This window comes from Homo sapiens, chromosome 10 (genome assembly GCF_000001405.40).
Source record: "Homo sapiens chromosome 10, GRCh38.p14 Primary Assembly".
Classification (NCBI taxonomy): domain Eukaryota; kingdom Metazoa; phylum Chordata; class Mammalia; order Primates; family Hominidae; genus Homo; species Homo sapiens.
Genome location: NC_000010.11, coordinates 122,863,034 through 122,877,140, shown reverse-complemented (window position 1 = coordinate 122,877,140; position 14,107 = coordinate 122,863,034). Strand labels below are relative to the sequence as shown.

The window sequence follows — 14,107 nt, the reverse complement described above, 5'->3', positions numbered from 1 at the left end:
TGGCAAATGGTATTTTTTGCTTTATTTTTATTTTTTCACTTGAAATAAAGAATAAGGCATATCTTTGAAATCTTTCCACCAATATCACAATGTATTTTTTTGGCTTGACTGTTTTAAAGAGAAGTTTATTATATATAACTTGTAGAATTTAGAGTAGAATCATATATGTATCTACTGTTGCTAACAGAGTGCCTTTGCATAGTGGCAATCAAACACTTTAGTCCCAGGACCTTTTACCCTCAAAATATTGAATATTCTAGAAAGCTTTTGTTTTTGTGTGCTCTTTTCTTATTTTTTAACACTTCTGGTTTCATCTGTGACACGTAAACCACTTAGAAGTCAATCACAACTGTCCTCACAAGAAAAAAGCTGAACAAATGGAACATTAACAGCCTTTAAAATATCCATCAGATAATGGAGGTCACAAAGCAAATGGCCACCCCCAAACTGGGTAGGCAAATACAGAAAATCACAACTGATATCAGCATGCTAGGAACAGAAATCCTCATGAGGCAGCAAATGGTAGGAACACTTAAAATGGTCATTGATGACTTGCTGGATGCTGAGTGTGAGTTAGCTTGACAGTTAGAAACTCCTGGGAGACCACTCATATGGTGCCCTTACACTTTTGGGAGTTTTACTTTTCAGAGCTGCAGCAGATTCTTAGGACAAGGATTGGATTAAAACTCCCTCCTGCTTTGTGCAGAAGGAGGGGGCAAAGTAACCTTTTTGAAAACTGCCCTCAGCATTTCCCTAACAAAAGCCTTCTCTCAAGGGAAAGTACTTTACCAGAGCCTTATCTGTTCTAGGGAAAGGGCAATTAGAAGATTCCAGCCCCCTCTAGCCTTCCCGTTGTTAGTGGTAGTGAATCTGCAGGGGGCTGCAGCAACCTCAATTCTTGTCAGAAGAAAGAATTCGACCAAGGGTCATAAGGAAGAGTGAGAGACCAAGGCAAGTTTTAGGGCAAAAGGAAAAATTTATTTAAAAGCTTTAGAGGTGGAACAAAAGGAAGTAAAAGTACACTTGGAAGAGGGCCAAGCAAGCGCCTTGAGAGATCAAGTGCGTGGTTGGACCTTTGATTTTGGGTCTTACATGTTGACATGCTTCCAGGGTTGCATTATTTCTTGCTAATTCTTCCCTCAGGGTGGGCTGTCTGCATGCTCAGTGGCGTGCCAGCACTAGGGCGGGGCTGTATGCATAGTGTGTTTACTGGAGTTGTATGCATGCTCACTTGAAGCATTCTTCTCTTACCCATCAAATGTTCTTAGAAGGTCATATACCAGTTAAACTCTGCCATTTTGCCTCTTAGTGCACATGCTTGAACCCACTTGTCCAACTCCTGAGATCTTATCGGCAAGCCGTTGATCACCAGTTTCAGGGTTTTTTTTTTTAATTAGGAGACTGCCTTTCCCTAGTGCCAGCTGTGACCAATTATTATCAGACTACATTTTATTTAAAAGGAGTCTCTGGGGATACCCAAAGACAATGACAATGTGGAAACTCAAAGCAAGAATAGTAGATTGAAGCCTCTGACACTGATAACTACAGCAAACATTAAACACAGCCTAACTTCTAGTCAGATTGACATGAATCAAGTAGCCTGATTACCTCAGTTTCTATATATTCTTCCAGATATATTATGTCTGGCTTTCAACAAAGATTTACAAAGCACGGTAAAAGGCAAGAAAGAACAAGAAACAAAGGAAATATCAGAACCATTCTTACATATGATGCAGATTTTGTAATTCTCAAGTAGGGAATTTAAGGTAGCTATGATTGATATATAAGGGCTCTAATGGAAAAAGCAGATAGCATACAAGAGTGAATGGGTAATGTAAGCAGAGATATGGAAACTCTAAGGAAGATATAAAAGGAAATGATAGAAGTCAAAAAACAATGTGACAAATGAATGCCTTTGATGGGTTTATCAGGAGACTGGACAGGCCAAAGAATAAATGAGCTTGAAGAACTGTTAATAAAAACTGAAAAGCAAAGAAAATAGAGATGAAAAAGTAGACTATCCAAGAACTGCTGGACAGTTATAAAACTTGTAATAACATGTATAATGGTAATACCAGAAGTAGAAGAAAGAGAAGAGAGTAGAAGAAATATGTGAGAAATAATGGTTGGGAATTATCCAAAATTAATGACACCAAACCCGTTCTTAGAGCAGGAAGCTTGGAGAACACCAAGCAAGATAAATACTAAAAGGTCTGTACCAGGGGTGCCCCTGGGCTACCCTGGGAAAAGAAGAATTGTCTTGGGCCACACATAAAATGCAGTAACGCTAACAATGGCTGATGAGCTTAAAAATTGCAAAAAAAACCTCATGCTGTTTTAAGAAAGTTTACAAATTTGTGTTGGGTTGCATTCAAAGCCGTCCAGGGCCGTATACAGCCCGCAGGCTGTAGGTTGGACAAGCTTAGTCTGTACCTAGGCATATTATATTCAAGATGGGAAAACCAAAGTCAAAGAGTCATTGAAAGGAGCCAGAGGAAAAAATACATGCTATAGAGGAACAAGAAAAGAATTATATTTCTGATTAGAAACCAAGCAAGAAGGGACTGGAGTGAAATATTTACAATGTTGAAAGAGAAATCACACCAACCTAGAATGTATCCACAAGAATTACCTTTCAGAAGTGAAGGAGACTTAAAGATTTTCTTAAACAAAAGCTAAGGAAATTTGTCAGTGATAAACCTGTGTTGCAAAAAATATTAAAATAAGTTCTCCAGAGGGAAGGAAAATGATCCAAGGTCATGAACTTGGATCTATATAAAGGAAGAGCATCAGAGAAGGAATAAATGAAGGCAAAATAAAATCCTTAATGTATATGTACCTAACAACAGAGCATCAAATATGTGAAGCAAAAATTGATAGAACTGCAAAGAGAAATAGACAAATTCACTATTACTCTTGGAGACTTCAACAACCCTGGATCAGTAATTGACAGTTTCAGCATGCAGAAAATCAGTAAGAATATAGTTGAACTGAATTGTACCATCTGTCCACTGGATCTAATTGGTATTAATAGGACACGTCAACAATAGCAGAATACACATTTTTCTGAAACACTCCTAGAACATTTACCAAGATAGAGCACATTCTAGGCCATAAAACACCCCTTAACAAATGTAAAAGAATAGAAATTATACAAAGTATGTTCCTAGATCACAATGGTATTTAATTAGAAATTTGTAACAGGAAAATACTTGAAAAATCCTAAAATATTTGGAGATTAACAGACATATTTCTAAAATAACACTTGGCTCGAAGTTTCAAGAGAAATTTAAAAATATTTCAAACTAAATGAAAGTGAAAATACAATTCATCAGAATTTGTAGAATTCAACAAGAGCAGTGCTTACAGGGAAACGGAGAGTACTGAGTACATGTTGGAAAAGAATGATCTAAAATCTATTATGTAAGCTTTCACCTTAAGAAACTAGAGAAAGAAGAGCAATATATAGGCACACCTAAGAGATACTGTGAGAAATTGCTATCTATGGCTACTAAAGCCTTATGAAATGTATTTCTTATACAATAAGACTTGAAAGTTGAAATTACTCCTTGATCCATGGGCTGCGGAATGGATGTTGTGTTGGTAGACATGAAAACATTAATCTCCTTGTACATCACCATCCGAGCTCTTGGGTGGCCCTGGCCAAGCATCAGTTAGCACTAATGTATTGAAAGGAACTTTTTTCTGAGCAGGAGGTCACAGCAGGGAGCTTAAAATATTCAGTAAACCAATGTGTTGTCATCCTGGTTTTGTTGTTCCATTTATAAAGCAAAGACAGAGCAGATTTAGCATAATTCTTAAGAGCCCTAGGATTTTCAGAATGGTAAATGAGCGTTGGCTTAAACTTGAAATCATCAGCTATATTAGTCCCCAGCAACAAAGTCAGCCTGACTTTTGAGTCAGAATCAGCTTTGAAGCCAGGCGTTGACCTCTCTAGCTGTGCAAGTCCTAGAGGGCATCTTTGTCCTATAGAAGTCTGTTTTCATCTATACTGAAAATCCATTGTTAAATGTGGCCACCTTCATGAATTATCCTAGCTAGAGCAGCTTCTAGATAACTTGCTGTACCTTCCTGTTACACCTTGCACTTTTATGTTATGGAGATGGTTTATTTTTTAAACCTCATGAACTGACCTCTATTAGCTTCAACCTGTTCTTTTTTTATTTTATTTTATTTTTGTATTGTTATACTTTAAGTTTTAGGGTACATGTGCACAACATGCAGGTTTGTTACATACGTATACATGTGCCATGTTGGTGTGCTGCACCCATTAACTCGTCATTTAACATTAGGTATATCTCCTAATGCTATCCGTCCCCCCTCCTCCCACCCCACCACAGTCCCCAGAGTGTGATGTTCCCCTTCCTGTGTCCATGTGTTCTCATTGTTCAATTCCCACCTATGAGTGAGAACATGCGGTGTTTGGTTTTCTGTCCTTGCGATAGTTTGCTGAGAATGATGGTTTCCAGCTTCATCCATGTCCCTACAAAGGACATGAACTCATCATTTTTTATGGCTGCATAGTATTCCATGGTGTATATGTGCCACATTTTCTTAATCCAGTCTATCATTGTTGGACATTTGGGTTGGTTCCAAGTCTTTGCTATTGTGAATAATGCCACAATAAATATATGTGTGCATGTGTCTTTATAGCAGCATGATTTATAATCCTTTGGGCATATACCCAGTAATGGGATGGCTGGGTCAAATGGTATTTCTACTTCTAGATCCTTGAGGAATCGCCACACTGACTTCCACAATGGTTGAACTAGTTTACAGTCCCACCAACAGTGTAAAAGTGTTCCTGTTTCTCCACATCCTCTCCAGCACCTGTTGTTTCCTGACTTTTTACTGATTGCCATTCTAACTGGTATGAGGTGGTATCTCATTGTGGTTTTGATTTGCATTTCTCTGATGGCCAGTGATGATGAGCATTTTTTCATGTGTTTTTTGGCTGCATAAATATCTTCTTTTGAGAAGTGTCTGTTCATATCCTTCGCCCACTTTTTGATAGGGTTGTTTTTTTCTTGTAAATTTGTTTTGAGTTCATTGCAGATTCTGGATATTAGCCCTTTGTCAGATGAGTAGGTTGCAAAAATTTTCTCCCATTCTGTAGGTTGCCTGTTCACTCTGACGGTGGTTTCTTTTGCTGTGCAGAAGCTCTTTAGTTTAATTAGATCCCGTTTGTCAATTTTGGCTTTTGTTGCCATTGCTTTTGGTGTTTTAGACATGAAGTCCTTGCCCCATGCCTATGTCCTGAATGGTATTGCCTAGGTTTTCTTCTAGGGTTTTTATGGTTTTAGGTCTAACATGTAAGTCTTTAATCCATCTTGAATTAATTTTTGTATAAGGTGTAAGGAAGGGATCCAGTTTCAGCTTTCTACATATGGCTAGCCAGTTTTCCCAGCACCATTTATTAAATAGGGAATCCTTTCCCCATTTCTTCTTTTTGTCAGGTTTGTCAAAGATCAGATAGTTGTAGATACGCGGCATTATTTCTGAGGGCTCTGTTCTGTTCCATCGGTCTATATCTCTGTTTTGGTACCAGTACCATGCTGTTTTGGTTACTGTAGCCCTGTAGTATAGTTTGAAGTCAGGTAGCGTGATGCCTCCAGCTTTGTTCTTTTGGCTTAGGATTGACTTGGCGATGCGGGCTCTTTTTTGGTTCCATATGAACTTTTAAGTAGTTTTTTCCAATTCTGTGAAGAAAGTCATTGGTAGCTTGATGGGGATGGCATTAAATCTATAAATTACCTTGGGTAGTATGGCCATTTGCACAATATTGATTCTTCCTACCCATGAGCATGGAATGTTCTTCCATTTGTTTGTATCCTCTTTTATTTCATTGAGCAGTGGTTTGTAGTTCTCCTTGAAGAGGTCCTTCACATCCCTTGTAAGTTGGATTCCTAGGTATTTTATTCTCTTTGAAGCAATTGTGAATGGGAGTTCACTCATGATTTGGCTCTCTGTTTGTCTGTTGTTGGTGTATAAGAATGCTTGTGATTTTTGTACATTGATTTTGTATCCTGAGACTTTGCTGAAGTTGCCTATCAGCTTAAGGAGATTTTGAGCTGAGACGATGGGGTTTTCTAGATTTACAATCATGTCCTCTGCAAACAGGGACAATTTGACTTCCTCTTTTCCTAATTGAATGCCCTTTATTTCCTTCTTCTGCCTGATTGCCCTGGCCAAAGCTTCCAACACTATGTTGAATAGGAGTGGTGAGAGAGGGCATCCCTGTCTTGTGCCAGTTTTCAAAGGGAATGCTTCCAGTTTTTGTCCATTCAGTATGATATTGGCTATGGGTTTGTCATAGATAGCTCTTATTATTTTGAGATACGTCCCGTCAATACCTAATTTATTGAGAGTTTTTAGCATGAAGGTTGTTGAATTTTGTCAAAGGCCTTTTCTGCATCTATTGAGATAATCTTGTGGTTTTTGTCTTTGTTTCTGTTTATATGCTGGATTACGTTTATTGATTTGCATATGTTGAACCAGCCTTGCATCCCAGGGATGAAGCCCACTGGATCATGGTGGATAAGCTTTTTGATGTGCTGCTGGATTCAGTTTGCCAGTATTTTATTGAGGATTTTTGCATCAATGTTCATCAAGGATATTGGTCTAAAATTCTCTTTTTTGGTTGTGTCTCTGCCGGGCTTTGGTATCAGAATGATGCTGGCCTCATAAAATGAGTTAGGGAGGATTCCCTCTTTTTCTATTGATTGGAATAGTTTCAGAAGGAATGGTACCAGCTCCTCCTTGTACCTCTGGTAGAATTCGGCTGTGAATCCATCTGGTCCTGGACTTTTTTTGGTTGGTAAGCTATTAATTATTGCCTCAATTTCAGCACCTGTTATTGGTCTATTCAGAGATTCAACTTCTTTCTGGTTTAGTCTTGGGAGAGTGTATGTGTCGAGGAATTTTTCCATTTCTTCTAGATTTTCTAGTTTATTTGCATAGAGGTGTTTATAGTATTCTCTGATGGTAGTTTGTATTTCTGTGGGATCAGTGGTGATATCCCGTTTGTCATTTTTTATTGGGTCTATGTGATTCTTCTCTCTTTTCTTCTTTATTAGTCTTACTAGCGGTCTATCAATTTTGTTGATCTTTTCAAAAAACCAGCTCCTGGATTCATTGATTTTTTTGAAGGGCTTTTTGTGTCTCTATTTCCTTCAGTTCTGCTCTGATCTTAGTTGTTTCTTGCCTTCTGCTAGCTTTTGAATGTGTTTGCTTTTGCTTCTCTAGTTCTTTTAATTGTGATGTTAGGGTGTCAATTTTAGATCTTCCCTCCTTTCTCTTGTGGGCATTTAGTGCTATAAATTTCCCTCTACACACTGCTTTGAATGTGTCCCAGAGATTCTGGTATGCTGTGTCTTTGTTCTCGTTGGTTTCAAAGAACCTCTTTATTTCTGCCTTCATTTCGTTATGTACCCAGTAGTCATTCAGGAGCAGGTTGTTCAGTTTCCATGTAGTTGAGCGCTTTTGAGTGAGTTTCTTAATCCTGAGTTCTAGTTTGATTGCACTGTGGTCTGAGAGACAGTTTGTTATAATTTCTGTTCTTTTACATTTGCTGAGGAGTGCTTTACTTCCAAGTATGTGGTCAATTTTGGAATAGGTGTGGTGTGGTGCTTAAAAGAATGTGTATTCTGTTGATTTGGGGTGGAGAGTTCTGTAGATGTCTGTTAGGTCCACTTGGTGCAGAGTTGAGTTCAATTCCTGGATATCCTTGTTAACTTTCTGTCTGGTTGATCTGCCTAATGTTGACAGTGGGGTGTTAAAGTCTCCCATTATTATTGTGTGGGAGTCTAAGTCTCTTTGTAGGTCACTCAGGACTTGCTTTATGAATCTGGGTGCTCCTGTACTGGGTGCATATATATTTAGGATAGTTAGTTCTTCTTGTTGAATTGATCCCTTTACCATTATGTAATGGCCTTCTTTGTCTCTTTTGATCTTTGTTGGTTTAAAGTCTGTTTTATCAGAGACTAGGATTGCAACCCCTGCCTTTTTTTGTTTTCCATTTGCTTGGTAGATCTTCCTCCATCCCTTTATTTTGAGCCTATGTGTGTCTCTGCACGTGAGATGGGTTTCCTGAATACAGCACACTGATGGGTCTTGACTCTTTATCCAGTTTGCCAGTCTGTGCCTTTTAATTGGAGCATTTAGCCCATTTACCTTTAAGGTTAGTGTTGTTATGTGTGAATTTTATCCTGTCATTATGATGTTAGCTGGTTATTTTGCTCGATAGTTGATGCAGCTTCTTCCTAGCCTTGATGGTCTTTACAGTTTGGCATGTTTTTGTAATGGCTGGTACCAGTTGTTCCTTTCCATGTTTAGTGCTTCCTTCAGGAGGTCTTTTAGGGCAGGCCTGGTGGTGACAAAATCTCTCAGCATTTGCTTATCTGTAAAGGATTTTATTTCTCCTTCACTTATGAAGCTTAGTTTGGCTGGATATGAAATTCTGGGTTGAAAATTCTTTTCTTTAAGAATGTTGAATATTGGCCCCCACTCTCTTCTGGCTTGTAGAGTTTCTGCCGAGAGATCAGCTGTTAGTCTGATGGGCTTCCCTTTGTGGGTAACCCGACCTTTCTCTCTGGCTGCCCTTAACATTTTTTCCTTCATTTCAACTTTGGTGAATCTGACAATTATGTGTCTTGGAGTTGCTCTTCTCCAGGAGTATCTTTGTGGCGTTCTCTATATTTCCTGAATTTGAATGTTGGCCTGCCTTGCTAGATTGGGGAAGTTCTCCTGGATAATATCCTGCAGAGTGTTTTCCAACTTGGTTCCATTCTCCTCATCACTTTCAGGTACACCAATTAGACGTAGATTTGGTCTTTTCACATAGTCCCATATTTCTTGGAGGCTTTGTTCGTTTCTTTTTATTCTTTTTTCTCTAAAATTCTCTTCACGCTTCATTTCATCTTCCATCGCTGATACCCTTTCTTCCAGTTGATTGCATCAGTTACTGAGGCTTGTGCATTTATCACGTAGTTCTCGTGCCATGGTTTTCATCTCCATCAGGTCCTTTAAGGACTTCTCTGCATTGATTATTCTAGTTATATCCATTCATCTAATTTTTTTCAAAGTTTTTAACTTCTTTGCCATTGGTTTGAACTTCCTCCTTTAGCTCGGAGTAGTTTGATCTTCTGAAGCCTTCCTCTCTCAACTCGTCAAAGTCATTCTCCATCCAGCTTTGTTCCATTGCTAGTGAGGAGCTGCGTTCCTTTGGAGGAGGAGAGGCGCTCTGATTTTTAGAGTTTCCGGTTTTTCGGCTCTGTTTTTTCCCCATCTTTGTGGTTTTATCTACCTTTGGTCTTTGATGTTGGTGACGTACAGATGGGTTTTTGGTGTGGATGTCCTTTCTGTTTGTTAGTTTTCCTTCTAACTCTCAGGACCCTCAGCTGCAAGTCTGTTGGAGTTTACTGGAGGTCCACTCCAGACCCTGTTTGCCTGGGTATCAGCAGCGGTGGCTGCAGAACAGCGGATATTGGTGAACCGCAAATGCTGCTGCCTGTTCGTTTCTCTGGATGTTTTGTCTCAGAGGAGTACCCGGCCATGTGAGGTGTCAGTCCGCTCCTACTAGGGGGTGCCTCCCAGTTAGGCTACTCAGGGGTCAGGGACCCACTTGAGGAGGCAGTCTGCCTGTTCTCAGATCTCAAGCTGTGTGCTGGGAGAACCACTACTCTCTTCAAAGCTGTCAGACAGGGACATTTAAGTCTGCAGAGGTTATTGCTGTCTTTTGTTTGTCTGTGCCCTGCCCCCAGAGGTGGAGCCTACAGAGGCAGGCAGGCCTCCTTGAGCTGTGGTGGACTCCACCCAGTTCAATCTTCCCAGCTGCTTTGTTTACCTACTTAAGCCTGAGCAATGGTGGGCGTCCCTCCCCCAGCCTGGCTGCCACCTTCAATCTGTTCTTATGCAGCTTCCTTACCTTTCTTAGCTTTCACAGAATTGAAGAGAGTTAGGGCATTGCTCTGGATTAGGTTTTGGCTTGAGGGAATGTTGTGGCTGGTTTGATTTTCTATCCAGACCACTAAAACTTTATTCATATCAGCAATAAAGCTATTTTGTATCCTTATCTGTGTGTTCACTGGAGTAGCACTTTTAATTTCCTTTGAGAACTTTTCATTTGCATTCCAACTTGGTAACTGTTTCATGCAAGAGGCCTAGTTGTCAGCCTATCTGGGTTTTCAACATGCCTTACTCACTAAGCTTAATCATTTCTAGCTTTTGATTTAAAATATGACGTACATGACTCTTCCTTTCATTTGAACACTTAGAGACCATTGTAGGGGTATTAATTGTTATCATTTCGATATTTTTGTGTCTCAGGGAATAGGGAGGCCTGAGAATAGGGAGAGAGATGAGGGAATGGCAGTCAGTGGAGTACTCAGAACACAATTTGTTGATTAAGTCTGCCATGTTATAGGGTCATGATTCATGGTGGACCAAAACAATGGCAATAGTAACATCAAAGATTGCTGATCACAGATCACCATAACATATATAATAATAAAGCAAAAGTTTGAAATATTGTAAGAATTACCAAAATGTGACAGCAGAGACACAAGTAAGCACATGCTGTTGGAAAAATGGCACTGATAGACCTTCTTAATACAGGGTTGCCAGAAATCTTCAGTTTGCAAAAAATGCGGTATCTATGAGGCACAGTACAGTGAAGCACAGTAAAACAAGGTATGCCTGTATACCTAAAACAAGCAGAAGAGAAGACGTAATAAAAATCAGCAAAAATCAATGAAATTGACAAAGAAAAAACCAATGAAATCAAAAGCTGGTTCTTTGAAAAGATAGATAAAGTTGATAGGCCTCTGGTCAGACTAAAAAAGACACAAATTATTAATATTAGAAATGAAAGCAGGACCATTAGTATTGATTCCACAGGCATTAAAAGGATAAAAAAGGAGGTCGGGTGCAGTGGCTCATGCCTGTAATATCAGCACTTTGGGAGGCTGAGCTGGGCAGGTGACCTGAGGTCAGGAGTTAGAGACCAGCCTGGCCAACATGGTGAAACCCCATCTCTACTAAAAATAAAAAACTAACGAGGTGTGGTGGCATGCACCTGTAGTTCCAGCTACTCGGGAGGCTAGGGCAGGAGAATCGCTTGAACCCGGGAGGCAGAGGTTGCAGTGAGCCAAGATTGCACCACTGCACTCCAGCTGGGCAACAGAGACTCCATCTCAAAAAAAAAAAAAAGAATAATACAAACAGCTGTCTCCGAATTTGATAACAGATGAAATGGATCAATTTCCTGAAAGATACAATGTACCCAAACTTAGAAAGGAGAAATAGATAATCTAAATAGGCCTATATCTAGTAAAAAAAAAAATTAATAATTACTCTTCCAAAAAAATAAAGCACCAGGACCAGATGAGTTCACTTGTGAATTTTCCCAAACATTTGTGGCAAAAATAATACAAATTTTATGCAGTTTTATCCAGAAAATAGAAGCACAGAAACACTTCCTAATTCATTATATGAGGCCAGCATTACCCTAACACCAAAGCAAAATAAAATCATTAGGAGAATGGAAACATACAGACCAATACCTCTCATGAACACAGATGCAAAAATCCTCAACAAAATATCAAACAGAATCCAACAAGTAGAAAAAGTATTATATATCAACACCAAGTGGGAGTTACTCCAGGTGTGTAAGGTATTCTAGTATGTTTCTGGTTGAATATTGAAAACCAATTAGTGTAACCTATCACATAAAGAATAAAAGAATAAAAATCATATCAATAGATGCAGAAAAGAGGATTTGAGAAAATTCAACACCCCTTCATCATAAAAAAAATTCAGCAAACTAGAAATAGATGGAAACTTCTTCAGGTTAATAAAGAACATGTACAAACAACCTACAGCTAACATCATACTTAACAAGTATGTATTAGAATGGCTAAAATAAAAAAACAAAACCTGACAATCCAAATGATGCTGGTGGGTATGCACAGCACCAGGAATTCTTATTCACTGCTGGTTGGAATTTTAAATGGTACATAATGACTCAGCAGTTGGACTCCTAGTTATTTATCCAGCTGAGCTGAAAATCTATGGGTACACAAAAACCTGCATATGAATTTTTATAGTGGCTTTATTCATAATTGGCAAAAGCTGGAAGCAACTAAGATGTCCTTCAGTAGGTAACTAAAGAAACTGGTATTTTCATATAATGGAATATTATTCCGTGATAAAAATAAATGAGCTAGCAAGTAACAAAATGACATGGAGAAACCTTAAGTGTACATTGCCAGTTGAAACCAGTTAGCCTTAAAAGGCTACATACTATATGGTTCCAACTATGTGACATTCTGGATAAGGCAACACTACAGGGACAATTAAAAGAATGGTTGCCAGGGTCTGGCAGGGGGAAAGGAGAAGGGTAATGTTGAATAAGTGAAGCATGGGATTTTGGGGGCAAAATTAATCTGCATGTGATACTATAATGGTGGATATGTGCATTTGTCCAGACCTATAGGACTGTACACACAGAGTGAGAAAACTGAATATAAATTACCGAACTTAGTTAATATATTAATATTGTCCCATTAATTGTAACAAATGCACCACAGTAATACAAGATGTTTTTTCTTGTCAAAGTTACTTTTATTAGTAAAAGTGTAGTACCTAAATATGTATACAAAAGTTACTCAAAAAATCCATCATTTTTCCTTTGCTTGTGAAAAGTAGTACACGCAACAGACCTCAGTGATATTATGCAACAGTGACCCATGCTGGTGTAGAATTCTCACAGCTTTTTAGGAGAACTTTTAAAAAAGCAAGTGAAATATGTAATACCTGATTGTTTTAACTCCAGTAACTGTGGAAGTATGAAGAAGCTAAGGTTCTTCATTATTCATCAATGCCAAAAATAAAGGTGAAAACTTGAATTCCTATTTGGCTTTCTTGTATTAAATGGTCAGAATAAAATTACTGTAATGCTAAATTTTTTCAACAACTTCATGTTTTTCACTCTTGCTTTATACAGTGAACATGTGTTGTTTCAGTTTGCTCTGAAACAACACATGTTTTTCATGTGTTGTTTTGGGATGAGCTTCACCACTTATCCATTGTGATTGTGGCAGGAGTTATCAGTGACAGTGCATGTGACCCTGACCTGAACAAGATCATGGGCCCTTGTCCCTTTTTCCACAGGGACTGGTACAATTCAAGGGCAGGTGATCCAGGGAAGACCAAAGTCCTTTTGTAGGATTTGTGCCTGCTGGAAAAGGACATTATCTCTCTCCTTTTTAGATCATAGATCTTAAGGATGTGGGCTTGTAGCCGACACTGGCCCAGTATGTGGAGGGGGCCAGCCTGAAAATGGAAAAACAGTCAGGAGATGTTGGTAAAGAGCCCTGGCAACATCATCTGAGGCTACGCCTATGGATGGTAATGAAGTTTTGAGGTTGTTACTTCAGTGAATCAGTGTAAATGAAGTATTCACTAAGGAATTAAACAGAACTAAACAGGACAGATTGAATAAAATAAAATAACAGTGTATGTGAGCAGGGGAGAGGGACATATGGGAATTCTGTCCTATCTACTCAATTTAAAAATAAATAGAAAACTGTTCTAAAAAGACTTTTGAAAGCTCTGTAGCTGATTTGAATGCACATACAGTTTGCTAGCCACTAGTCTTGAGGTTTATAGCCTGCCTCTGGAACCAGATTTGCTGAGTTCAATTCCTGGCCCTTTTCCCTGCTAGCTGTATGGCCTTGGACAAATTCCTAACCTCCATATGTCCATGTTTTCCCATTTGTTATTGCCTCCATTAAGAAAATGGGGATGATAATAGTATTACCTACCTCATAGGGTCTCTTAAGAGAATGAAATATCTAAGAGCTAGTGCCAGGCATGAAGTCATCAATCAGTGTAATATCAGCTATTACTTTGTGATTGTGGATGTTACTGTTACCTGTAGGTAGGAGCAGCTGAATTCTTTCCACAGAGATTCTTCAACATGGCCAAAAAGCTACATGTCCTGGTGATAAGACCAAATGCCTTGGCTTAATGGAAGTGGGAAAGATGGTTCTGATGTCTCTGGTCTTTCCACTGTTCAGGAATGGTT

The 14,107-nt window shown here is 38.9% G+C and overlaps 1 protein-coding gene and 1 long non-coding RNA gene across 4 annotated transcripts in view, besides 2 other annotated features; both read left to right on the top strand.

The window, feature by feature from the left end:
• Nucleotides 1-14,107, top strand: part of FAM24B-CUZD1 (FAM24B-CUZD1 readthrough) — a 47,487-nt gene that overhangs the window by 2,501 nt on the left and 30,879 nt on the right. The gene's annotated exons all lie outside the window — the stretch shown is intronic.
• FAM24B (family with sequence similarity 24 member B) overlaps nt 1-14,107 on the top strand; it is a 30,564-nt gene that overhangs the window by 2,501 nt on the left and 13,956 nt on the right. The window lies entirely within an intron of this gene.
• Nucleotides 311-830: an enhancer, noted in NCBI's record as "OCT4-NANOG hESC enhancer chr10:124635827-124636346 (GRCh37/hg19 assembly coordinates)". NCBI's record gives its function as "activates a minimal SCP1, AML or CMV promoter by ChIP-STARR-seq in primed H9 embryonic stem cells {active_cell/tissue: H9 hESC(primed)}" and the evidence as "EXISTENCE:reporter gene assay evidence [ECO:0000049][PMID:30033119]".
• Nucleotides 831-1,351: an enhancer, noted in NCBI's record as "OCT4-NANOG hESC enhancer chr10:124635306-124635826 (GRCh37/hg19 assembly coordinates)". NCBI's record gives its function as "activates a minimal SCP1, AML or CMV promoter by ChIP-STARR-seq in primed H9 embryonic stem cells {active_cell/tissue: H9 hESC(primed)}" and the evidence as "EXISTENCE:reporter gene assay evidence [ECO:0000049][PMID:30033119]".